We start from the raw sequence: 27,937 nt of genomic DNA on the forward strand, positions 1-27,937 counted from the left end.
TATGATTCTCCACTGTGACTGCTTATTGGAATCTCTTGGGAGTTTTTGAAAATGGTAATGCCCAGGTGTCCCCCTCAGTCCTCTTCCTCACTCCCCCCATATTCTGATATATTTGGCCTGGGGTTTGTGGCTTGTTTAAAAGCTTCCTAGATGGCTGTGCACAGTGGCTCATTCCTATAATCCCTGTGTTTTGGGAGGCTGAAGCTGGAGGATTGCATGAGCCCAGGAATTTGAGACCAGCCTGGGCAACATAGCAAGATCCTGTCTTTAAATAAAAATAAATAAATAAATAACAGTCAATTAAGAGCTTATGTGCTACTAAAATTGAGAACTACTTGATCAAAGGATAGGGGATGATGGTGCAATTGATGTTAAAGCTTCAGCTAGGACAGTTGACATAATCAGACTTACTAATCAACTTTTTCAAAATGCAAAACTTTAAAGTAAATACAGCTGCTCTGAGCCTGGAATGTTATTTTCTTTAGATTACTAAAATACTATACTGCCACATTCATGGGAGTTCTACAGATGTACTTTTTCGGAGCCTGTGTAGTGGGAAATTGTTTAGAGCAGTAGTTCCCAGTTCTGTCTGCATGTTAGGATCATCTGGGGACCTTCAGATAAAAATGTTGGATGAAAATATATATATTCATATTCTACCCTTGACAGTTGAATCAGAATTGCTGGGGGCAAAGCCCAATTAATGGTATTTTTTAAGTTCCTCAGGAGATTCTTATATGTAGCCAGAATGGACAGGGGTGGGTGGTACTGATTTAGAGTTATAACTAGACAAGATGTAAGGTTTTAGGTTGTTCTATTGTCCTAAAAGTTAAATGTACTGCTGCTAGTATTAGTACTAGTTTTCTGATTATAGTGATTTTACTCAAACTGTTTTTGTTTGGTTTGTTTATATCCTTTAAAAAGGATGAAGAGCTCTTTATTTCAGCCAAGAGCTTGAATTGGCTTTTCACTGAACTATCAGTTTTGGTGGCACACCGAAGTGAATTTCTCTCCTTTGACAAGTCCTTGTAGGGAGTGGTGCTATAATCATAAATTAAAAAATAATTTCTCCATGTATTCAAATCCTACTAGCCTATTTTATCCTGGACCAAGACACTTAACCTCTGTAACCTCATCTGTAAAATGTAAATCATATCTAACTTGCATAAAATATTGATGTGAGTATTAAATGAAATAATGTATATAAAGTATCTAGCATTGTGCCCGGCACTAAATAATTTCAAATCTATGTTCTCCTTTTCAGCATTCCCTTTTACTCTCATTGTTCTTTCTTTCTTTTTTTTTTTTTTTTGAGACGGAGTCTCTCTCTATCACCCAGGCTGGAGTGTAGTGGTGCAGTCTCGGCTCACTGCAACCTCCACGTCCCGGGTTCAAGCAATTCTCCTGTCTCAGACTCCCGAGTAGCTGGGACTACAGGCATACGCCACCATGCCCGGCTAATTTTTGTATTTTTAGTAGAGATGAGGTTTCACCATATTGGTCAGGCTGGTCTCAAACTCCTGACTTTAGGTGATCTACCCGCCTTAGCTTCCCAAAGTGCTGGGATTACAGGTGTGAGCCACTGTGCCTGGCCCTTTTTTTTTTTTTTTGAGACTGAGTCTTGCTCTGTTGCCCAGGCTGGGTGCAGTGGCCTGATCTCAGCTCACTGCAACCTCCGCTTCCTGGGTTCAGGTGATTCTCATGCCTCAGCCACCCAAGTAGCTGGGACTACAGGCGTGCATCACCACTCCCAGCTAATGTTTATATTTTTAGTAGAGACAAGGTTTCATCATGTTGGTCAGCCTGGCCTTGAAGTCCTGACCTTAAGTGATCACCTGCCTCGGTCTCCCAAAGTGGTGGGATTACAGGTGTGAGCCACCACACCTGGCCCACATTGTTCTTTTTAAAAGAACTTCACTACAGGTGCTCCAGTGCAGGCTAGATTACGTTTATAGTTGAATACTTTAAGTTTCATACAATAAAATTTACACTGGAGCATACAGTTCTCTGAGTTTTGATAAATGCCTAGAGTTGTGTAAACCACCACCATAGTTAATTTACAGAACAGTTTCCCCTCACCATCACCCCTCAAATTTCTTTCTACCCCATTGTTTAGTCAAACCCTCCCCCACCTTTAATATTTGGCAGCTCTGGATTTGTACCCTATCCTTACTTATTTATTTCTATTTATTTTCACTCATTCATTTAAGACAGGGTCTTACTCTTTCGCCCAGGCTGGAATGCAGTGATGCGATCATAGGTCACTACAGCCTTGTGCTACTGGACTCAAGGGATCCTACTCACCTCAGTCTCTAGAGTAGCTGGGACTACAGGCATGTGTGTCATCATGCCTGGCTAATTTTTTAAAAATTTTTAGTAGAGGTCTTGCTTTGTTGCCCAGGCTAGTCTGAAACTCTTGGGCTCAAGCAGTCCTCCCGCCTTGGCCCCTCAAAGTGTTGGGATTACAGGTGTGACACCAATCGCCCACTCCAGCCCCACCTTTTTTTTTTTTTTTCCCCAAAGAGAGATGGGGCCTCACTGTGTTGTCCAGGCTAGAGTGCAGTGACTGTTCACAGATGGGATCCTAGCACACTACATCTTTGAACTCCTTAGCTCAAGTGATCCTCCTGCCTCAGCCTCCTGAGTACCTGGGACTACAGGGATCTCCCACCTCTTCTGGCCTGAGCCCTGTAATTTTGCCTTTTCCACTGTGTCATTTAAATAGAATTGTAAATCAATTTTTAAAATGGGCTTTTATTTTCTTGTTAGGTTTTTAGATTTTTAAAAAATTATTCTAGGTACAAATTCTTCATCAGAAATGTAATTTGCAGGTATCTTCTCCTAGTCTGTGGTATATCTTGTATTTTCTTAACAGTATCTTTTACTTTCGATGGATTTCAGTGTATCCGTTTTCTCTAATGGATTGTGCTTTTGATGTATGTACGAACTATTTGTGTAACTCAAGGTCACAAACATTTTCTTTAAGTTTTACAGTCTGATTTACATTTGGGTCTGATCCATTATTAATTTTGTATTAAATGTGAGCTAAAGTACATTTTAAAAATATGTACATCTTAATTATTCCAGTACTACCCAGCACTTTGGGAGGCCGAGGCGGGTGGATCACGAGGTCAGGAGATCGAGACCATCCTGGCTAACATGGTGAAAGCCCATCTCTACTAAAAAAATTAGGCGGGCTTGGTGGTGGGCGCCTGTATTCCCAGCTACTGGGGAGGCTGAGGCAGCAGAATGATGTGAATCCGGGAGGCGGAGCTTGCAGTGAGCCGAGATCACGCCACTGCACTCCAGCCTGGGCAACAGAGCAAGACTCTGACTCAAAAAAAAAAAAAAAAAAAAAAAAAAAAAAAAAAGACTTTTTCCCCGTTGAATTGTTTTATCACTTTTGTAAAAGATCACTTTTGCTGTATTTATGTGGGTCTATTTCTGGTCTCCATTCCATTCTTTTGATCTGTATATCTTTTTGCCAGTACTGTAACTTCATAGTTATGTTTTGAAATCAGGTGTTCTGTTTTAAAATTTTTCAAAATTTGGCCACTCTAGTTTCCTTGGTATTCCATATAAAATTTAGAATCACTTTGATGTTTATCCAAAAAATATTTGGAGTTTGATTGGCATTGAGTGGAATCTATAGGTCAGTTTGGGAAGAATTAACATTTTAATTATGTTGTTTTCCAATCCATGAAGATGGCATCTCTCTCCATTATTTAGGTCTTATTAAAATTTCTTTCATCAATATTTTGCAGTTTTCCGTGTACACGTTCTTCACATATTAAATTTATACCTATGTATTTCACGTTTTGGTGCTATTGTAAGTGGCACTTTAAATTTTTTTGATCTTCAGTTATTCATTACTAGTATGTAAAAATATAGCTGATCTTTTCTTTCTTTCTTTCTTTTTTGAGATGGAGTTTTGCTCTTGTTGTCCAGGCTGGAGTGCAGTGGCGCCATCTTGGCTCACTTGTAACCTCCGCTTCCCGGGTTCAAGTGATTGTCCTGCCTCAGTCTCCTGAGTAGCTGAGATTACAGGCGTCTGCCACCATGCCCTGCTAATTTTTTGTATTTTTAGTAGAAATGGGGTTTCATCATGTTGGCCAGGCTGGTCTTGAACTCCTCACCTCAGGTGATCCACACACCTTGGCCTCTCAAAGTGCTAGGATTACAGGCATGAACCACCGTGCCTGGCCCAGCTGATCTTTTTATATTGGCCTTGGACTTCGCTAAACTCATTTCTTCTAGGAATTTTTTGTAGATTAATGGGATTTTCTGCATAGCCACATACATAGTCATCTGATTAGAAACAGCTTTTTTCCTTTCCAATTTCTTTTATTTCTTTTTCTTGCCATATTGTATTTGTAAGACTCCGTCCAGTACAGAGTTGACTGAGAGTGACTGGGCAGCTGGCCTAGAAGTGCCTCTTCTAGGCACTTCTTTTTCGTTTCCTAGTTTGCTGAGAGATTTTTATAGTAGTGGATGTTGAATTTTGTCAAATGCTTTATTTATATCCTATCCTGTGACTTTTCTTCATTAGGCTTTTAGTGTGGTAATTAAATTGAATTTTGAATATTTAAAACTATCCGTGCAATCCCAGGACGAACCCCACTTGATTGTGGTGTAATTATCCTTTTTATATATTGCTAGATTGTATTTCCTAATATTTCATTGAGGATTTTTGCATCTTTGTTCATGTAGTAATTTTCTTGAAATGTCTTTGTCGGATTTTGATATCAGTGTGATCTTATGGAAATTGGGAAGTGGTCCCTCCTATTCTAGTTTTTGGAAGAGTGGTGTAGAATTTTTTTTTTTCTTCCTTGAATGATTAGTAGAATTTTCCAGTGACACCATTTTTGGTCCATGAGTTTTCTTTGTGCAAGAGAGTTAATTACATACTCAGTTTGCTTAATAGATATAGGATCATTCGTGTTGTGTCTTCTTTAGTGAGGTTTAGTAATTTGTGTCTTTAAGAAGTTGGCCTGTTTTATTGAGTTGATGAATTTAATGGGCAAAGAGTTTGTAGTATTTGCTTATCATCCTAGGTAGAGTTTTATTAGTTTCATTGATCTTTAGCACTAGCTTTTGGTTTTGTTTCTCGGTTTTTTTCTTTTTTTTTTTCCTTTTTAATTTCATTGACTTCTGCTGTTTATTATTCCCTTTCTTCTGCTTGCTTTGGGTTTTTCTTTTTCTTTTTTTTCCTGAAGTGTTTGAGATCTTTCTGATTTTCTTACATAAGCATTTAATATGATAAATTTTCCTGTAAACACTGTTATGTCCCACAACTTTGATATGTTGTATTTTCATTTTTGTCTAGTTCAAGATATTTCTAATTTTCTTTGAGATTTCCTCTTTCAAGCTTGGATTTAGCAAAAGATGGTTTAATTTGGAAGTAGGCTGTCTACATATTCAGTGGATTACTGAGAGAGGAGTGTTGAAATCTCTTAAGTATAATTGTGGAATCATCTATTTGATTTCTATCAGTTTTTTCTTTATTTTGAAGTTACTGCTGCTAATTTTTCTTGTTCTGGAGTTTGCTTTGTCTGATAGAAATATGGCCACTGTAGCCTTCATGTGATTAGTGTTTGCGTGATATATCTTTTCCCATCTTTTTACTTTTAATCTGTATATATCAATCATTACATTGAAAACTGAGCTGTTATGGACAGCATAGAGTTTTGCCCTTTTTAAAAAAAAGATCTGAGCGGTTGCCCTGCCTTTTAAATGGTTTGTTTTGAACATTTACACTTGATGTAATTATTTACGTGGTTAGATTTAGGTCTTTTAAAATTACTTTTCTCTTTGTTCCTCCTTTTTCTGCCTTTTGGATTACTTGAAATTTTTAAAATATTCTACTTGATATATTTATTGGCTTTTTAAAAGCTTTTCTCTTGGTCTTACTATTTTAGTGGTTGCTCTAGGGAGTATAATCTAACTCTTGACATTCTAGTTAAGGTAAATATTTTACCTTCTCAAAGTAAAACAGGTTTTTTTCCTAGCCTCTTTATATTACAGTTGTCGTATGTGTTATGTCTAGAAACATTTAACTCTTCCTACCAAGCATGATGTTACAGTTTTTTATTTCAACAGTTTTATAAGTTTTCAAGAATTTAAGTGGAGAAAAATAGTGTATAATATTTACCCAGGTATTTACCATTTCTGTCGCTTTTCCTTCTTTCCTGTAGTTCCAAGTTTACCCCCATATCATTTCCCTTCCACCCAAAGAATTTCTTATAGCTTTTCTTTTAGAGCAGGTTTCAATCTCTCTCTCTCCCTCTCCCTCCCTCCCCCTCTCCCTCCCTCCCTCCCCCTGTCCCTCCTTCCCTCCCTCCCCCTCCCTCCCTCCCCCTCTCCCTCCCTCCCTCCCCCTCTCCCTCCCTCCCCCTCTCCCTCCTTCCCTCCCTCCCCCTCTCCCTCCCCCTCTCCCTCCCTCCCTCTCTGTCTCTCTCCCTCCTTCCCTCTACCCCCCGCCCCGCCTCCGCCAAAGACAGAGTCTTGTCTGAGGCTGGAAGGCTGGAGTGCAGTGGTGTGATCACAGCTCATTGCAACCTCAGCCTCCTCAGCTACTGGGACTAATACGCCACCACGCCCAGCTAATTTTTTGTAGTTTTTGTAGAGATGGGGTCTCACCATGTTGCTCAGACTGGTCTCGAACTCCTGGGCTCAAGTGATCCTCCTGCCTTAGCCTCCCAAAGCACTGAAATTAGAGGCATGAGCCACTGCACCTAGCCTGTTTTTTGCTTTTTTGTCTGATAATGTGTTTGTCTTCATTTCTGAACTATACTTTTAGTGAATACAGAATTCTAGCTTGATACCTTTTGATATCCTATAGGGGCCTGAGAGATTGTTTGTTTTTAAAAAATATTTCTTCTCTCTTTTGTTAAGATTGGATAATTTGTGTTGCCATATCTTCAAGTTCACTGACTCTTCTGTCATCTTCTTTCTGATAGTGAGCCGGTCCAGTGAGTGAGTTCTAAAATTTTCATTTTTTTAAAAAATAGTAAACTCTTTCTTTTTTGAGAATTTCAGACCGGGCTCTGTAATCCCAGCACTTTGGGAGGTCAAGGTGGGAGGATCATTTGAGTCTGGGAGTTCGAGACCAGCTTGGGCGGTATACAAAACCCTGTCGCTACTGAAAATACAAAATATTAGCTGGGCACGGTGGTGCATGCCTGTAGTTCAGCTGCTCAGGAGGCTGAGGTGGGAGAATCACCTGAACCAAGAGGTTGAGGCTGCAGCAAGCTGAGATTGCACCACTGCACTCCATCCTGGACGACAAAGCAAGACCTTGTCTTAAAAAAAAAAAGAGGATTTTGGCCAGGCGCAGTGGCTCATGCCTGTAATCCCAGCACTTTGGGAGGCCAAGGTGGGTGGATCATTTGAGGTCAGGAGTTTGAGACCAGTAGAGGGGGTTTCACCCTCTCTACTAAAAATAAAGAAAATTAGCTGAGTGTGGTGGCATGCCCCTGTAATCCCAGCCACTCAGGAGAATTGCTTGAATCCAGGAGGCAGAGGGTGCAGTGAGCCTAGATCACGCCACTGCACTCCAGCCTGAATGACAGAACAAGACTCCATCAAAAAAACAACAAAAAAGATAATTTCACATTTCATTTGTTTTAAGGTGTTCTTTTTTTACCTAATGGATCATGGTTGTAATAACTGCTGGCCTGTAATCCGAGCACTTTGGGAGGCCGAGGTGGGCAGATCACCTGAGGTCGGGAGTTCGAGACCTGCCTGACCAACATGGAGAAACCCTGTCTCTACTAAAAATACAAAAAATTAGACGGGCATGGTGGCGCATGCCTGTAATCCCAGCTACTTGGGAGGCTGAGGCAGGAGAATTGCTTGAACCCGGGAGGTGGAGGTTGTGGGAGCCGAGATCGTGCCATTGCACTCCAGCCTGGTCAGCAAGAGTGGAACTACGTCTCGAAAAATAAAAAATAAAAATAAAAAAATATAAAATAACTGCTTTAAAAGTCTTTGATAATTGTAATATCTGGGTCATCTAGGAGTCAGCATCTGTTGATTATCTTCTGCTTTAAGAATTGGTCAGTTTTTTGTTTTTTGTATTTGCTGTGTTTGGTAGTTTAGATTCTATCGCGGACATTTTGAATATTGTATTGTGAGATTCTGAGTCCTGTTGAAGTGCTGTAGAGAAAGTTTAAGATTTGTTTTAGTAGACAAATTGACCTATTTAGTTTATACCTGCAAATTCTTTCTCATCTTACATAGGCAGTGGTTCCATTATCTCTTCAGTTTTCAAAGTCTTTGCCATGTTGTTTGCATTTGCCCCTCCCATTCCCACTTTGGTTGATCTAGCACTTGAGCAGTGATTTATATCCTAATTTTATTGTGAAAGCCTCCCTTACACTTCTTTGGATCTGTTCCATATATATATAGATAGCTTGCAGCTGGGCCCACAGACTTAGGGATCTACTTTTCTGTCTCTTAATCATCAGTGATTTCACCTATATTCTTCAGCTCCCAGGGGCCTTCTTTATTCCCCTAGCCAGAAGCATGGAATTATAGTTTGAGTCTCCTACCTGTCATGCCTCACATGGCAGTGAGCACATTTAGGGAGCCCTTGCCCTAACCATATTAAATAAAAACATGGTGGTGGAAACTAGGAATCTGTTTTAACAAAACTTACCATAGTTACTTTTGATAAACCAATAACAGATTTGGGAACTTGTGGCTAGAAACAATATTTGGCACTAGCAACATCAAGTTATACTCCCTCCCCTCTGTTTTTTCCCTTTTTGCAAGTTGAGGCTCTTAACAATTCCTGAAATAGTTTACCCCAAGCACCCTATCCAGTGGTAGAAAATACAGTGTACTGGATGCCACAAAGTTATAGTCATGCAATTTTAGTTAATAACAGGAGACTTAAGTCTCTTGATTGATGGAGAGACTTAAGATTTAGCTTATTTTACATATAGCTAAATCTAAATTAGTGACTTTATTTCAGTTGTAGGCAAATCCTCTTGTTAAAACTTGTTTTTAATTTCTGAGTTCTTTTAAAAAAAAAGTTTTACATCACATTTCTAAGAGCTGGAGATGACAGTGTCTCTGTTTTCTGTTTTCTCTACAAATAAACGTATAACTTAGGATCAGTTAAAATATTTCTTTTCACATCTTAACTCTTATAGATGGGTGGTGTCTATCAGCAGTGCTCTGTTAAAGACAGATTCTTAGGGGAGTGTGGGTCCAGAGAAGTAAGGAGTACCTAGATTAGCAAAATGTACTAAGGTGAGTAAGTGAGTGTCTGTATCTTTGGCTTTTGGAGGGGAGTATGCATGTGTGTAAATTTTTCTGTAACAAATGGTACTGTCGAAAACAATTGACATACATTTCTTTCATGACACTATTTTTATACAAGATTACTTTAAATCTGTAGCTAACTACGGTCTGCTTGTGGTGAAGTAAAGTGGTTTTAGTCCACAGAGATCTTTTTTGGAAGGTTATTTGATGTAGTAAAATTATATATGAGATAAAAATAAGCAGACACATGTTTGAGTTCCACTTCTGCTATTGTAACTAGCTCTTGTATCTTTGAATGAGTCAGGCCTTGCTGACTTCTTAGGCCCCGTTGCATTTTGAGTTAAAATTTTGTGCACAAATAGTGAGCTCACTAGTTTCATGGGAAATGGAGATATTTGTGACAGCATTGAATGATAAGGCAGTAAACTTTGGTTTTATTTCATAGTGGTAACTTTTCTTTCTTGAAATAGCAGCCTAAAAGTATGCCCTGTAAACTACTATGTGGTACAGTATTTTTTCATTTTGGTTAAATATCTCTGAAGTATCCTTCTAACTTAAAAGTGATTTGAACTCATTTGAACTATTCAGTGTATAAGGTATTAAATTATTTTTTTAAAAGAGACTGGGTCTAACTATGTTGTCCAGGCTTCACTCGAACTCTGGGGCCTGAGATCCTCCTGCCTCAACCTCCTGAGTGGTTAGGACTATAGGCACATGCGATCGTGCCTGAGTGTTGGAAATTTTCCTTTTTTAAAACAAATTTTTTTTTTTTTGAGTCAGAGTCTTGCCCTGTTGCCCAGGCTGGAGTGCAGTGGTGGGATCTTGGCTCACTGCAACCTCCATCTCCCAGGTTCAGGTGATTCTCGTGCCTCAGCCTCCCAAGTAGCTGGGACTACAGGTGTGTACCACTACACCTGGCTAATTTTTGTATTTTTATTAGGGACGGGTTTTGCCTTGTTGCCCAGGCTGGTCACAAACTCCTGAGCTCAAGCAGTCAGCCTGCCTTGGCCTCTCTAAGTGCTGGGATTACAGGTGTGAGCACCCTGCCTGGCTGAAATTTTGATTACATTTAGTGTGCTGATGTGGCAGTCTGCTGAAATTATTTTTTTTTTGCAATTAAGACAGCGCCGGATTTACTATAGTAACTTACTTTCTGTTTAATTTCTTTTTGGCTTATTTTTAATCCTAAAGAAACCTGACATAGTAGTGTGGCAGACTATGTTTAAATAGTCTTGATCTTATCATTCAAATATATTTCCTTAGAGGAATAAAGAAATAACTCTAGGGATGGAAATTTGGGTGGAGTATTGTGGAAATTTAACTTCAACCTAGGAGTTCACTAAATGTCCATGAAGTGCTATTACCTTAAAATGACTTTTTTTCCCCTCCTTCTTTAGAATCCAGCAACTATCACAAGAATACTCCTTAGCCACTTCAATTGGGATAAAGAGAAGCTAATGGAAAGGTAAGGAACTATATTGTCAGCTTTGTACTTAGAAGTAACACAGAAAGCCTATTGAACCGAATTTACAAGAATCAAGTAAGGGAATTGATGAATATACCAGTATGTGGACAACCCAGTGTGCAACTAGTGACTGCTTTAATTTCTTGTATTCCCCTTTTGTAAATTTTGCAGTAAATTTAATGTTAGGGAGTTCAGTCTTAGTGTTTCTTTTTATTTGGGAGTATGTGTGTTTGGGGGTGTGCTTCAGTATCTTCTACATATATCCTCTTGGGTACCAAGAACTGAAAGCAGGTAGAGAAAAAAAGCACCTGATAACATTCTTGGAGTACATGAGTAAGATCCTCCTTTAATTACTTAAAAAGATTTCTTGCTCATCCGGGCATGGTGGCTCACGCCTGTGATCCCAGCACTTTGGGAGGCTGAGGCAGGTGGAACACGAGGTCAGGAGATTGAGACCACCCTGGCCAACATGCTGAAGCCCCGTCTCTACTAAAAATACAAAAATTAGCTGGGTGTGGTGGCGTATGCCTGTAGTTCCAGCTACTCAGGAGGCTGAGGCAGGAGAATCACTTTAACCTGGGAGGCGGAGGTTGCAGTGAGCAGAGATGGCGCTACTACACTCCAGCCTGGCAACAGAGCGAGACTCTATCTCAAAAAAAAAAAAAAAAAAAATTCTTGCTCACAAACCTTTAACCTGTTATTAGTAGCATTTATTCAGTAGAAACAAAATTGAGAAGTTGCTTAGGCTTTTCTGGCCACCAGACCAGGTGCTTGGACTGGTTCTCTGGTTTCAGGGCAGGATTCTATTCCATTGGGTTTTTAAAAATATTTTCTTTCTGAAAATCTTTATAGTTTTAAAAGAGAAGAAATTAGTGGGACTGGAGAATGACAGTATTAATGTCATTCTTAATCTTGTTCTGCTCTTTGGTTTGGAAATTTGTTTGAATGGAAATTTGGGACACTTGTTAATGGTGAGGTTGACAACTTATGTTTATTTCATTATCAATTCTAAATTTAATAAAAAATTAAACCTAGTTGTTGGGAACTGACAACCCATATATTATAGAAATAAATGGAAAGTATTTCCCATTTGATTTTAAAATTCAGAGAGTACTTTATAAAACATAAATAATACCGAGAATATCACCCCATTTCATACACCTTGTATCTATTAAATTACATTGTAAATAATATCTATTGTTACTATTAAATTACAATTTAATAGTAACAACTATCTCAAAACAAACACATACTGTATAAAGCTTTCCCATGGTTCATGAAGGATAACATGTTCAACTAGTTTGATTTTTCTTTTTATGCATTCTGACCATGTTTTTTTTGTTTTTTTTTTTTTTTTTTTTTTTTTGAGACGGAGTTTCGCTCTTGTTGCCCAGGCTGGAGTGCAATGGCGTGACCTCGGCTCACTGCAACCTCCACCTCCTGGGTTCAAGCGATTCTCCTGTCTCAGCCTCCCAAGTAACTGGGATTACAGGCGCCCTCCACCATGCCTGGCTAATTTTTGTATTTTTATTAGAAATGAGGTTTCTCAGTGTTGGTCAGGCTGGTCTCGAACTCCCAACCTCAGGTGATCTGCCCGCCTCAGCCTCCCAAAGTGCTGGGATTACAGTTGTGAGCCACTGTGCCCAGCCCTGACCGTATTTTTTGACATCAGTGGTGTTTCTTAATTTTGGTAACATTTACTTTCAGGTTTTTTTATTTGATGACACCTCTACTAGGAGAAAGAGTTTTTATCGTTTACTTGTGAAACTCTAATGAATTAACACTGATTTACTCAGAGTTTCTCTCATATTAATGTATTTCTCCAAGACATTCTGAATTTTATCCTATAACACTGCTGAAAATATTTTTCCATTAAATATTGTACTTAATATTTGTGTACTATTGGATTTAATGTTGTACTAAATTTTGTACTTTATATGGGAACTGTAGCTTCTGCTCAGTTTTTCTGGGAACCTTAAACTGTCTAAAAAAATAGGTGGTAAGTGTGAATTTAAATTAAAAGGAGGTTTCTGGGAAACTTCTGAGTATGTGAACGTTTCAGTTTCTCCTTGTAGTTTCTGTAGAGAAGCTATTGGATACCTAAAAGATTTATAATTCAGTCTTTAAATAGTGTCTTTAAAATCAATATGCAATATCTTTTTGTCTCATTTAATGATTTTCACATTATATTTTATGTTGTCTGCTATTAGCACTGCCACACTTTTTTTTTTTTTAAAGCATTTGACTGATGTATCTTTTCCATTTTTTAAATATTCAACCTTTCTGGGTTTTAGGAGTGTCTTTTGTAAATACCATGTAGGTGCCGTTTAAAAAAATCTGAATGAAAAAACTATTATCTTTTAATATCAGAGATTAACATATTCATGTTTTATAATTAATGTTTAGATTAAATTACTGTCATTTTAAGTTGTGCTTTATATTTGTTATGTTTTCTGTTCGCTTATTCTGTTGGCCTCATCAGATTTTCCTTTTTCTCGAATAATTTCAAATTTATATATGTATTCTATTTCAGTTTTTCTAGTCACTTTTACAATTTGTACATGCCTACTTACAACTATATAAAAGTTTCTAACAATATTTACTTGAAGTTTTAATCCATCCTCTGTACAAGACAAAAACTGTAGCATAAATTTTTTTCTTTGTCCTTTCCTTGTCCCTATCAGCTTGATAAGTTGATGTTTGAATTTTTTTTTTTCTTTTCTTTTTGAAACAGGGTCTCACTCTGTCACCCAGGCTGGAGTGCAGTGGTGAGATCATGGCTCACTATAGCCTTGACCTCCTGGACTCAAGCAATCCTTCCATTTCAGCACCCCCAGTAGCTGGGACCACAGGCACGCATCACCATACCTAGTTAGTTTTTATATTTTTTTGTAGAGATGGGGTTTCACCATGTTGCCCAGGCTGGTCTCAAACTCCTGGACCCAAGCAACCCTTTCACCTTGAACTCCCAAAATGCTGGAATTACAGACATGAGCCACTGTGCCCAGTCGATATTTGAATTTTTTATTTGATTGTAAGCATTTTTACTATGTATGTATTTAATGCCCCCCCCCCCCCCTTTTCTGGCTAATTCGCTTTTTGCATACCACTATTTTTTTTCTAAATACACTGTTTTTCTTAGAATATATCCTGTAATATAAATTGTTTCACATGTGACAAACTTTAAGTCCTATAATAGAAACTCTTAATATACTGAAACTTACTGTAATATTTCTGGATGTGAGTTTTGAAAACATAAACTGTTGGGCCCTTTAAGTCTGACAATTCATATTTTTGGTTTTGGAAATTCTCAGCTGTTATTTGTTCAGCATACCTTTTCTCCATTCTCTTGATGCTTTCTGGAATTCCTGGATCCATGTTGAAACTTGGGGATCTCTTTCCATGTCTTCTAACTTTTTTTTTTTTAAGATGGAGTCTTGCCTCTGTCAGCCAGGCTGGAGGGAGTGCAAGTGGTGCCATCTCGGCTCACTGCAACCTCCGCCTTGTGAGTTCAAGGGATCCTCCTGCCTTAGCCTCCTGAGTAGCTGGGGTTACAGGCACCCACCACCATGCCTGGCTAATTTTTGTATTTTTAGTAGAGAGAGGGTTTCACCATGTTGGCCAGGCTGGTCTCAAACTCCTGACTTCAGGTGATCTTCCCCTCTCTACCTCCCAAAGTGCTGGGGTTACAGGCATGAGTCATTGCATCCAGCATGTCTTCTAACTTTCTAAAAAATACTTCTTCTGTATTCATCTCCCCACCCCCAGCACTTGGGCAAGTGCCAGTGACTGTACTCATCTTTGTTTTTGACTTTGTTCTGTGAAAATTCCTCAGTTTATCTTGCTTTTCTTCCTGCATCCATTCTGCTTTATAGTCGTATTGAATTGTTTATTCAACAGTATCCATCTTATTCCTTTTAATAACTTTGTTCTTGTTTTGTGGGTACAATTTTTGCTTTATCTCTCGGTTTATTCTTACATTAAAATAATTAGAATTAAATAATGAGAATACAAAGATGAGATGTGGCTGAAAAGGTCCAGGGCAATTTACAGTCTTAAGGGTTTTTATTAGAAAAAGAAAATGAGGTAAAAAACTGGGCTGCGCACCATGGCTCACACCTGTAATCCCAGCACATTGTGAGGCCAGGGAAGGCAGCTCACATGAGGCCAGGAGTTTGAGACCAGCCTGGCCTACATGGTGAAACCCCATCTTTACTAAAAACACAAAAGTTAGCCAGGCGTGGTGATGGACACCTGTTATTCCAGCTATGCAGGACGTGGAAGCTGAGGCACGAAAATGGCTTGAACCCGGGAGGCTGAGGTTGTGGTGAGCTGAGATTGTGCCATTGCACTACAGCCTGGGCAACAGAGTGAGACTCTGTCTCGAAAAAAAGAAAAATAAAAACAAGAGAATGAGGTAAAAAAAAGGACCAAGCCTTTGAAACAGGAAGTTAGAAAAATAAAATAAACCCAAAGAAAGTAGAAAAGGTATTTAAGATAAAATTAGATATTAATGAACTAGAGAGCAACAACAACAACAAAAAAGATAAAGATCTTTGACATGAATTTTCTGGAAGATAAGCTACAGACTGAGAAGATATTTGCAAAAGACACATGTAACAAAGGACTCTTGTCCGAAATATACAAAGAACTCTTAAAACTCAACAGTAAGAAAACAGTCTGATTAAAAAATGGGCCAAAGAGCTTAACAGACACCTCACCAAAGAAGTTATACAGATGGCAAATAAATGAAAAGATGCTCCATGTCCTATGCCATCAGGGAAATGCAAATTAAAACAACATTGAGATACCAGTACATACCTATTAGAATGGCCAAAATCAAAATACTGACTACCAAATGTGGACCAGGATGTGGAGCGGTAGGAACTCTCATCATTTCTCGTGGGAACGCAAAATGGTACAGCCACAAAATGGAAGACAGCGTGGCAGATTCTTAAAATACAAAATGTACTCTTACTATGTAACTCAGCAATCAAAACTTCTTTAAAATTACCCAAATGAGTTGAAAACTGTGTCCATACAAAAACCTGCACATGGATGTTCATAGCAGCTTTATTCATAATTGCCAAAACTTGGAAGCAACCAAGATGTCTTTCAGTAGATGAAAGGATGAGTAAACTGTGGTACATCCAGAAGTGGGATATTATTCCGTGCTAAAGAAATCAGCTATCAAACCATGAAAAACCGTGGAGGGACTTTAAATGCATATTATTAAATGAAATAAGCCAATCTGCAATGGCTGTATACTGTACGATTCCACCTATGTGACACTCTGGAAAAGGCAAAACTATGAAGACAATGAAAAGATCAGTGGTTGCTAGGGGTTAGTGAAGAGGGAGGGATGAATAGTCAACAGCACAGTTTTTTTTTTTTTTGGGTGGGTGGGGGCCTAAACTATTTTGTATGATACTGTAATGGTGGATATGTATCATTATGCATTTGTCCTGACCCATAGAGTGTATAACATCAAATAAGAACCCTTATGTAAACTACAGACTTTGGGTAACAACGGTGTGTCAATGTAGGTTCATTGAATGTACCACTCTGTGTTGTTGATAGGGAGGCTATGGGTATGTATTAGGACAGGGTTATATGGGAGCTGTAGCTTCTGCATATGTTTGCTGTGAGCCTTAAACTGCTCTAAAAAATAATAAGTTTTTTTTTTCTTTTAAAGGGGGAAATAAACCGTTGGCAAATGTGTTGGGGGAGGGGGAGAAGACACAACATTGAGAATAATAAGGCATAATTAGAGGTAGGAAAAATACCGTGTGCTACTTTTACATCTTTTTTTTTTTTTTTTTTTTTTTTTGAGATGGAGTCTCGCTCTTTTGCCCAGGCTGGAGTGCAGTGGCGCAATCTCGGCTCACTGTAAGCTCCGCCTCCCGGGCTCACGCCATTCTCCTGCCTCAGCCTCCTGAGTAGCTGGGACTACAGGCGCCTGCCACCATGCCTGGCGAATTTTTTTGTATTTTTAGTAGAGACGGGGTTTCACCATATTAGCTAAGATGGTCTCGATCTCCTGACCTCGTGATCCGCCCACCTCGGCCTCCCAAAGTGCTGGGATTACAGGTGTGAGCCACTGTGCCCGGCCTTTTTTTTTTTTTTGAGATGGATGGAGTCTTGCTCGGTTGCCCAGGCTGGAGTGCAATGGTGCAATGTCCACTCATTGCAACCTCTGCCTCCCGGTTCAAGCGATTACAGGCGTGCGCCACCATGCCTAGCTAATGTTTGTATTTTTTGGTAGAGATGGGGTTTTGCCATGTTGGCCAGGCTGGTCTGGAACTCTGACCTCAAGTGATCCGCCCACCTTGGCCTCCCAAAGTGCTGTGTGAGCCACTGCGCCAGCCCAAGCTGGTCCACTTTTACATACATTTGAAAGCTTAGAAATGGAAATTACCTAAATTGTCCCTCAAGAAGAAGTAGAAAAATAGAGTAAACCCATAACCAGAAAAATATGGTGAATATAGTAAAAGATTCCACTCCTTCCCCAAAAAGTACTGGATGATTTTATGGGTAAGTTCTGTCTCATAAACGTTCAAGGAACTGCCAGTTCCTGTAGAAAATTATCTCCAAACATTGAAAATGGTAGGACATCATTAATTCATGTTAGCCAGATCAGAATAACCCAGTTCCAAAATTTGACAGACAGTAGGAGAAAATGATACTTATAAATATAGCTGTTGAATTTATAAATAAAATAATGATTGAATCAACGACTCTTAGTAGGATTTCTCTTTTTTTCCTTTTGAGACAGGGTCTCACTCTGTCACCCAGGCTGGAGTGCAGTGGTGCAATCTTGGCTCACTGCAACCTCCGCCTCCCAGGTTCAAATGATTCTCCCGCCTTAGCCTCTCCCAAGTATCTGGAACTACAGGTGCGTGCCACCATCTCTGGCTAGTTTTTTTCTTTATTTTTAGTAGAGATGGGGTTTCATCATGTTGGCCAGGCTGGTCTCGAACTCCTGAACTCAAGTGATCTGCCCGCCTCAGCCTCCCAGAGTGCTGGGATTATAGGCATGAGCCACTGTGCCTGGCCAATTTAGTAGGATTTCTCCTAAGAATGCAAGAATAGATCATCATCGGGGGAAAATTTTTTCGTTTATAACATTTACAACATTAACAGATTTATGAAGATAAAGAATAATCATAATAAATGTCAGTTATGCATTTTAATAAAATTGTGTATTAACTCGTGATTTAGTGAAAACTAGATTCTTAGCAAACTGAGAAAGTGATTTCTCAGATTGATTAAAGGTATCAACTAAAATCTACAATAAAATTATAGTTAATGTTGAAGCATCAGAAACATGCCCATTGTAATCAAACAAGGATTATGGCTGTCACCACCATTTGAATGTATTGGAAGTTCTGATAAATAACGTAATACATGGAAAATTAAATAAGTGGCATAAAGACTAGAAAGGAAGATAAATTATATGTAAAGTATATAATCTAGGAAACCCAGAAGAATCGACTGATTAACTATTAAAGTGATTGCCCATTAAAATCACCTGAGAAGTGAAAAAAACCCACAGTGCCCAGTCCCTTTCCATTACTTCTTCCTTCAGTTCTCTTGGAAAATGAAAAGAAACATGGAATGTAAGTAGTTGTAGCTTCGGTGACCCCTGTGTTCCTCCACATTCTTTTTTTTTTTTCTCAATTTTTTTGTAGAAGCAGGGTCTTGCTATGTTGTCCAGGCTGGTCTCAAACTCCTAGACACAAGCGATCCTCTCACCTCAGCCCCACAAAGTGCTGGGATTGCAAGCGTGAGCCACCACGTTCAATCTCCACATTTTTTGCATATAAAAATTGAGGTTACCCATATGGTAATCCTGTAGGTATTTAGTATCCTAGGAATTGTTAAGAAAAGGTAAGCAATATACCTACCTTTAGTCTACATATAGCCCATAAGGTTTGTAACATCGTATTTTTTAAAAATCGTGCTTCCTAATGGGTAACACTGAATGTATTAAAGTGTCATTTCTCCTTATTTCGATATATTTAAAGATAAATCTTATCCTAGTTAAAATTGTGAAATATTTTAAAACTTTCTTTTCCTTTGTCATTTCCATATACCAGGCATATTAGTATTTCTTTTTATTTTATTCATTAGTAAGCCATAGTCCCTGCCCTGGAGGGAGGTGCCCATGGTCCCCTGAGGGCAATAGAGGTATAAATAGATCCTTGCCAGTTATTCCTCTTGTTTGCCCCATGCCTCTTAGTCTGTAGTTTAAACAAATTTATACTGACCCTAAAAATGAATGTGATTTTTTCTTTTTAAAAATATATTTTGAGGCAGGTACAGTGGTTCAACCCTGCAATTCTAGTGACTCAGGAGGCTTAGGTTGGAGGGTCACTTGAAGCCAGGAGTTCCAGACCAGCCTGGGCAACACAGTGAGACTCCGCCTTTAAAAAGAAGTAGGAAACTTAGCTGGGCATGATAGTGTGTGCCTGCAGTGCTGCCTACCAGAGAGGCCGAGGTGGGTGTCTCACTTCAGTGCAGAGACTGCAGTGAACCCTGATCTTGCACTCCAACCTGGGCGACAGAGGAAGACCCTGACTCTTAAAAAATTAAATAAGATATAAATTTTGGGCAAAGGTCGGAGCTGGTGGAGAAAGGACACCTTTAACTTTATGGTCTTTTCTTTTATCCATTATAGCAGTTTTCCAGACCACTGTCATTTTCTTTCTTTTACTGTCTAATGCTTTTTTTTTTTTTTTTAAATCTCTGCAGATTAATTTCTCTTCTGTTTTACAAACTAAATAGAATTTTCTATAATTACTAATTTCTTTCCATGCCTCTCCAGATGAAGCAAAGCAAAGCATAAAATCAGAAATACAGCAACAACTGTTATCTGTCAAGTCTTCCATCTGGGTTTTGATACTATCATGATTTTTGTGGGATATTGCCTCCATTATTTCATCTGTCATATCTTGAACCTTTTCCTCCTTTCTTGGTATATCAGTCAGGATTTTTCATTATAAACAAACTTTAAGAAGTTAAAAGTGAAATAGACATTAAAGATTGAGAATCTTAGGTGTGAAGGTTGTGCAGTCAGGAAAATGCCAAAATCAGAATGTCAAACTATTTTAGTGGAGGCACTGTTGCTGCTGCCATTGGGCACAGGTATCACTGCTGATAACATCAATATTGGGCATATGACACCACAACTAATACCTCTGCAACGTCTGAAAGCTGGATATCTCCTTACTCCTTTGATAGATTACCTCATTGAACCTTCTTTGAGTAGTGAGTTTTTGATAAACTGTCTCCCTGCTCCTGCCTGGGAGGAATTCTCTCACCTGGAGGGATGGGAAAGTGAATTGTGTCCTCTGTTTACCTTGCTAGCTTTTTTTTTTTATCTCCGTATCCTTATGTCTGTTCTCATATTACACTTTAGTAGTACAAAACTTTTGTGACAGTCACCAAATTCATTTTTCTGCTGCCTCAGCTTTGCAATTGTGTTTTGACCCAGGGCTTCTGTTTACTGTGCAGCTCTAGGGAGCATCTTTGGAATTGTACTGTCATTGGCCCAGGCCTGACTTGCCTTTCTTACTGTCTTTTTTCCTAATTTTCCTTCAAAACTCAAGTTAACCTTTTCTTCTGAGACAGCTTTTCTTATCTCTCAAGATCTACTTGCTTTGCACTGTATTGTTTATTTGATTTAGTATTTTACCACTTCTATTTGAGGTTCTTTGTGCAGAAACTATCCTACTTTTCTTGTATTCCTACACATAACGCAGTTCCTAATATATAGCCATTGTTTACTAAGTATTTTAATTAAATCCAGCCATTTATAGGTTTTCTTTTCTGTAATAGAATTTTATTGAAGTTATGACATGAATGTAAATCAGATTTCATTTTGGGAGCTTTTAGAAACAGCATCAACAATGGAGCTACTTTTAAGTTGATAACAAGTAAAAAAAAAAGTGTCTTTCTTGCAGCTCAGATTTCTTGTAGGTTATTAAATTATAATAACATTTAAAAACTCATTTCAGTTGATAGTATGGTAGTATATAGGGTAAATGCTAATGAATTAATTGGTGTGTTTGAGGTGGGATGAAATACAGGTGGTTGAAAACTTAACCACCTATAAAACTTAATTATACTTGGACAGGTATAATTAAAGAATCCTGAAGAAGGATTTCAGTCTTTCCTGGACTCTGTTACAAATAGCTTTTCACTTTTCATTCTGAAGCATTAATACCCATTTAATGGGTAGGTACTAGTGTTAATACTTGGATGTGATTATGATAACATGGAACTTTTTGTAGCCACATTATTAATAATATATAATTTCATAATTAGCCTCAGGGATGGTGAAAGTAAATTTGGTTTTTCAGAAACCTTGCCTTTTTGATGACATTTATCACTATTCTACAATACAGTGAAATTTTTCCTGTTTAAACAATCCACGGCCGGGCACAGTGGCTCATGCCTGTGATCCCAGAACTTTAGCTGACTGTGGCAGGAAGATCGCTTGAGCGTAGGAGTTTGAGACTAGCCTGGACAACATAGGGAGACCCCCATCTCTACAAAAAAATAAAAAATTAGCTAGGTGTGGTGATGCACACCTATAGTCCCAGCTACTCAGAAGGCTGAGGCAGGAGGATTGCTGGAGCCCAGGAGGGTGGAGCTGTGATCTGTGATCATGTCACTGTACTCTAGCCTGAGTGACCAAGTGAGACCCTGTCTCAGACAAAAAACAAAAAACAATTCACGTATTATTGAGGAGAGTAGTGAAGGGCAAGAGGCAAATGTACGGCTGGGTGTGGTGGCTCATGCCTGTAATCCCAGCACTTTGGGAGGCCAAGGTGGGCGGATCATGAGGTCAGGAGATCGAGACCATCCTGGCTAACACAGTGAAACCCCATCTCTACTAAAAATACAAAAAATTAGCCGCGTGTGGTGATGGGCTCACGTAGTCCCAGCTACTCAGGAGGCTGAAGCAGGAGAATGGTGTGAACCCAGGAGGCGGAGCTTGCAGTGAGCCGAGATCCACCACTGCACTCCAGCCTGGGCGACAGAGCGAGACTCCGTCTCAAAAAAAAAAAGCAAATGTACTATCTCATTATAGTACAGTGATTAAGAACACAGAATTCTTGCTCCCCCTATCTCACTATCTCACCTAGACTGGAGTGCAGTGGCGTGATCACAGCTGACTGCATCCTTGAACTCCGGGGCTCAAACTGATTCTCTCGCCTCAGCCTCCCTAGTGGGTAGGACTGTGCACCACAACACCTAGCAAATTTTTTGTAGAGATGGGACCTTACTTTGTTGACCACACTGGTCTGGAACTCCTGGACTCAAGCAGTCCTCCTCTCTTGGCCTGAGCCACTGCACCCTGCCAGGAATTTTTTAAATATCAGCTATGTTTAAGACATTGAGCAGGAGCTTGGTGATGAGGAGTTACACACAACAGTGTATCATACAATAGACCACCATGGTACGTAGAGATAAGTTTTTATGGCTCCATGGTACTTAGAGATAAATTTTTATTTTTGACCTAGGTGGGAAAGGATTTAGTAATGAGGTGTGGCATTTGATTGGACAAGGAAGGGCAGAAGTGATATGGGAACCTGGGTATTTAAGGCTCAGAAAACAAAACTAAGTGGGGCACAAAGTTTAAGGAATATATGTTGAACAATTATGAGATTGAATGTCTGGAGTATGCGAAGAATAGAGGGGAAATGGTTGGAAATGTTTAATGCACGTTATAAGGGCCTTGAATTTTAAGTAAGTGAATTTGGAATTTTTCTGTCTTTATTGGGAAGCCCTTGAACGTTGTTTTATGGAGAAATAGTGATGGAAAAGCATTATTTCAGAAAAAAATCTAGTAATAAATGAGCTGTTTTAACTATCCAGGTAAAAGGAAAATATTGTCCTGACTTACAATAGTGACAGCTAAATTGATAGCAGAGGGTAGATGGAAAGAGAAGTAAAATTAGTTTTAACTGAGACAAAATATAGGAGACTCTGGGAAACTTCTGGTAATTTTGACCGTTCCTTTCACTAAATACACTAGAAGAGGCTAGGTGAAATACTGAAACATGTTTGAAAAGTAAGATTATCAAATAATTAGTAAGATAGGAAATAGAGGTTCAAGGTTGAGAGTTTGGGAATCAAGGGAAATTTAGAGAAACAAGCTTCCAGTCCTTGTTGCTCTAGCAGTGTATGTTGATCCAGAAGAGGTAGCTAAGAGACTTAGCTGTGAGTTTTGTTTGCCCTTTGTTAGTAGAGGGGGAAGTTGGAATATTAGGTCTACTAAGAGCGAAAATTGAATACACTAGCTCCTTAAAGACTGAAGATGATCTTCATGTCTTTTGGGTAGTCCAGAAAACCTTAAACCTTGAACTTGGGTTAAGATAGCCCCCGTATATAACAGAAACAAACGTAAATCTTCTCTAGGGAAATAACATTATTTAAGACCTTAAACTATTTTCTCAAATTATTTTTCTAATTAAAACATAACAACCTGGAACTTAAGATACTGGAATTGTCAGACCTAGACCAAAATGAGTATGCTATCACCAGGGAGCTGTCATTCAGATTTGGAAAAAAATCAGAATTTTTATAACTAAACAAAATAAGCAAAATTAACTTTGTGACATAGTTTAACAGCAGACTGGACAAAGCTGAAGAGAGTTTAGTGTATTTGAAAATCAAACAATGATCCAGAATTAAGTATATCCATTAAAAGATGGAAAATACAGAAGAGATTAAGAAATACAGAGGATATAATGAGAAGGTCTCATTGAGTTTTAGAAAGAGAGGAGAGAATGTGGCAGAGGCAGTATTTTAAGATAAAAATGACTGAGAATTTTGCAGATTGGTAAAAGACCCAAATGTCATAGATTGAAGAAACATAACAGTTCCCATGTGTGATAGCTACTTGTTTCACTGATCCTAAGATACACAGTTTTTCACATTTTAACATCTGAAATCTGGATGCATCTTTCAATTATTGACACCTTACAGTCCAAAAAGATTGAAATTTTGACTCGTGAAAAATTTTCCATGTCAACTTCTGTTAAGATCATGAAATTTCAGCACGAAAGCATTTTAGATTTTATGAAATATGGTAAAAAGAAATCCACATTTTTATTTATTTATTTATTTATTTATTTATTGAAACACAGTTTCATTCTGTTGTCCAGGCTGGAGTGCAGTGGCACAGTCTCAGCTCAGTGCAGCTTGCACCTCCCGGGTTCAAGGCATTCTAGGGCCTCAGCTTTCTGAGTACCTGGAATTACAGGCACGAGCCACTAGGCCTGGTTAACTTTAGTATTTTTAGTAGAGATGGGGTTTCGCCACGTTGGCCAGGCTGGTCTCGAACTCCTGACCTCAGGTGATGTGCCTGCCTCAGCCTCCCAAAGTGCTGGTATTATAGGGGTGAGCCACTGGGCCTGACCAGAAATCCACATTTAAAAACATCTTAGTAAAACTACAAAATCAGCAAAAATAAAAAATCTAAATCAATGAGATACAAGAAAGGCTGCTTTCAAAAGAGTGAAAGTATAGGTATAATAATATTCTAGAGCACAGCTCAACAGCAACAGTGAAAGTGATAGTAAGATGATACCTCAGTCTTTTGAAAGAAAATAAACCTTACCTAGAATACTATGTTCATGGAAAATATATTCATAAACAGTATGTTTTAATTAATATAAATGGTTTTATGTTGTACCTAGCTTTTGTATCTTTTTAAAGCCAACCAACATTTTGTTCTGCCAGTGTTGATTGAAGTTTCAAATACTCATAATTGTTATTTAAGCAACTATTTGTCTGTTAAAGGGAAAAATCTTGCAGAATGTTGTACTTTGGAATTTATAACCTTAAATGCATAATGAGCTAAGCATTCATCTTAAAAGTCTCAAGTAATAAGCTTAGAGGTCTCAAGTTAGGAAAAGAACAACAAAATAAATATAGGGAAAATACAAGGAAAGAAATAAAGAACAGAATATAATAAAATAGAAAACATGCAGTAGAAGGGATCAAGAAGCCGTAAGATTTTTTTTTTTTTTTAAGACTGATAACGTTGACACTTTGATGAGGTTAGGAAAAAGAGAGATCCTAAATAACCAGTATTAGGAATGAAAACAGAGTATCACTAGGATCTTGTGGATGGTTTAAAAAAAAACTCTTAAAATTATGGACAACTATTCAAACTTGATAGACGAAATGGGTAGATTCCTAGAAATAGGCAATTTCCCAAAACTGACATAAGAAATAGTAAACCTGTATCCTTATTAAGTATAAAGAAATGAAATCCATAATTTAAAATGTTCTTATAAAGAAAAGTTGAAATTCAAATGGTTATACTGGAAAGTTCTACCATAACATTTAATATGACAGTAACTTCAACCTTATTCTAAAGAACAGAAAAATAGGATCTTCTGCCTTCATAAAGATATCATAACCTTTATACCAAAACCCAAGGAAAGATGATACACCAGTTTGTCTTATGTACATAGATACAAAAAAACCATACATACACACACGCACGCACACAAAACAAAAACTGGAACAACAGAAACACCTCAGAATATTAGCAAATTGAATTCAGCAATACATATATAAAAAGGAGGGTAACCCAGCATGGCCACCTGAGGTGAATCCTGGGAATGCTAGGTTGGTTTAACCTGAAACAATTCAGCATGATTGGTCACTTGAACAAATTGATGAGAAAAACATTTCAGAGATGCCAAGGAGCCTTTGCTTCATGATTTTAAAAAGAAGCTATTAGCAATCTAGAACTTTGTTAACCTTATAAATCTTACAGAAACATTTGTAGGAGATATCATAGTTTATCCACTGAAATGTTAAAAAAGATTTCCCTTTTAGATGGGAGTTCAAGATGTGGATATCGTATCTCCAGTTCAATTCAGCATTATACTAGAAATGATTCTAGCCAGTAGAACATCAAAAAATGAAAACAAAATACAGTGTTGTAAGAGAAATGCCTGTGTTTTTGGGGGTTTTCTTTTTTTTGAGATGGGGTCTTGCTCTGTCTCCCAGGCTGGGGTGCAGTGGTGAGATCATGGCTCACTGCAGCCCCCTACCTGCCAGGTTCAAGCAATTCTCCTGTCTCAGCCTCCCAAGTAGCTGGGACTACAGGACCATGCCCCCAAGCACAGCTGATTTTTGTATTTTTAGTAGAGATGGGGTTTCACCATGTTGGCCAGGCTGGTCTTGAACTCCTGAGCTCAAGGAATCCACCTGTCTTCAGAAGTGCTGGGATTATAGGCGTGAGCCCGTGGGCCCGGCCCCTGGCTGTTAATATTCACTGACAATGTGATTGTGTATTCACAAACAATGTGATTGTACATGTGGAAAAATCAGAATCTGGAGGTAAATTGTTAGAATAAATGTCTTTAGAAAGAAATATGAAAAATTTCTTTTTTCTTTGACCCAATAATTCCGCTCTCAGGTATATATCCAATAGAAAGAAATACGTGCACATCTACATTGAAAGTCATATATAAAACTGGTGGTGGCTCATGCCTGTGGACTCAGCAACATGGGAGAATCGCTTGAGGCCAGGAGTTACAGATCAGCTTGGGCAACATAGTGAGACCCCGTATTTACAGAAAATTAAACAATTAGCTATGCATGGTGGCATCTGCTTGTAGTCCCAGCTACTCAGGAGGCTGAGGTGGGAGGATTGCTGGAGCCTAGGAGGTCAAGGCTGCTGTGAGCCATTTTTATGCCACTGCACTACAACCTGGGCGACAGAGTGAGACCCTGTCTCAAAAAAAGAAAAAGTCATATATAAGCATGTTCCTAGCAGTATTTATTCATACTTCAACCTATAAACAACCCAGATGTTTATCACTATTACACTAGATAGATAATTATGGTATATTGACATAGTAACTATTCAGCAGTGCAAAATAAATGAGCAAAAGCTACAAGCCACAGCATAGATAAATCTTAAAAACATAGTGAAAAGAAAAGGACCCCAAGTAATACCTATCTACTATATGGTTCTACTTACATAAAATATAAAAACAGTTGAAACTAAGTTTATATTGTTTAAGGATGTGTGTTTAGGTGGTGTAGCTATTTAAAAAGGGCAGTGATTAAAACAGTTGAAACTAAGTTTACATTGTTTAAGGATGCATATTTAGGTGTAATTATTAAAAAAAAAAACAGGGTAGTGATCATACGTTTAGGGGGGCTTGTAGAGTACTAGCAGTCTTCTGTTTCTTGTCCTGGGTGGTATTTATATACTGGTGTTTGTTTTATAACAGTTTGTAAGCTGCATGTTTATGTACTTCTCTAGGATTGTGTTATTGCAAAATAAAAATCATTTTAAAACACATATACACAGACATAGGAAAAGGATCAGTCTTAAAGGGAAGGTCCATCTTTTTTCCTGGACATGTAGGATTAATAGTTCCTTTGTACCTACAAGTAAACTTACATTTTGCCAAGACAGCTTTTCTCACTGCTCTCCTAGGCTCTAGTATATTAAATCTATCCTAAATTTAACTTAGATTGTGTTAACTTACTTGAGCAACCTCTGCTACCCTTGTGGTTTCTGCCACATCAAAGCCATACTCCCCGGATTTGGGGTTTGAAAACCTTGTGTACATTCACTCCATTCTGTATGTCTTTGCTTATAACTGTATATTCCTTGGGATGCCCTCTGCTATTCAGGCCTCAATCTTAAGAGCTGTAGCTTTGTACAGAATCAGAGCGTATCAAGAATACTTCATTCTGGGGTTGTGCTCATAGCCATCACGTACAATTCTGTGCATCACAAATCGATGCCTCCTATGTCTTCTTATTGTCTGTATTCTTTTTTTTTTTGAGACGGAGTCTCGCTGTCGCCCAGGCTGGAGTGCAGTGGCGCAATCTCGGCTCACTGCAGGCTCCGCCCCCTGGGGTTCATGCCATTCTCCTGCCTCAGCCTCCCGAGTAGCTGGGACTACAGGCGCCCGCCACCTCGCCCGGCTAATTTTTTGTATTTTTAGTAGAGACGGGGTTTCACCGTGTTAGCCAGGATGGTCTCGAACTCCTGACCTCGTGATCCACCCGCCTCGGCCTCCCAAAGTGCTGGGATTACAGGCGTGAGCCACCGCGCCCGGCCTTATTGTCTGTATTCTTACCACATTTACCAACTTGTTTCAACATCTTGAAGTTAGTTTTCTGTACTTCTCTAGGATTCTTCTCCCA

The 27,937-nt window shown here is 38.6% G+C and overlaps 1 protein-coding gene across 1 annotated transcript in view, besides 1 other annotated feature; it reads left to right on the top strand.

Annotated features, from left to right (window-relative positions):
* Window positions 1-27,937, top strand: part of ARIH1 (ariadne RBR E3 ubiquitin protein ligase 1) — a 128,658-nt gene that overhangs the window by 33,070 nt on the left and 67,651 nt on the right. The window contains exon 2 of the mRNA NM_005744.5: window positions 10,668-10,735. Coding sequence (NP_005735.2) covers window positions 10,668-10,735 — 68 coding nt within the window. The remainder of the gene's footprint in view (window positions 1-10,667; window positions 10,736-27,937) is intronic.
* Window positions 25,846-25,895: a silencer, noted in NCBI's record as "silent region_6625". NCBI's record gives its function as "represses an Ori minimal core promoter by ATAC-STARR-seq in GM12878 lymphoblastoid cells {active_cell/tissue: GM12878}" and the evidence as "EXISTENCE:reporter gene assay evidence [ECO:0000049][PMID:35858748]".

The sequence above is a fragment of the Homo sapiens genome, chromosome 15, assembly GCF_000001405.40.
Source record: "Homo sapiens chromosome 15, GRCh38.p14 Primary Assembly".
Lineage (NCBI taxonomy): Eukaryota > Metazoa > Chordata > Mammalia > Primates > Hominidae > Homo > Homo sapiens.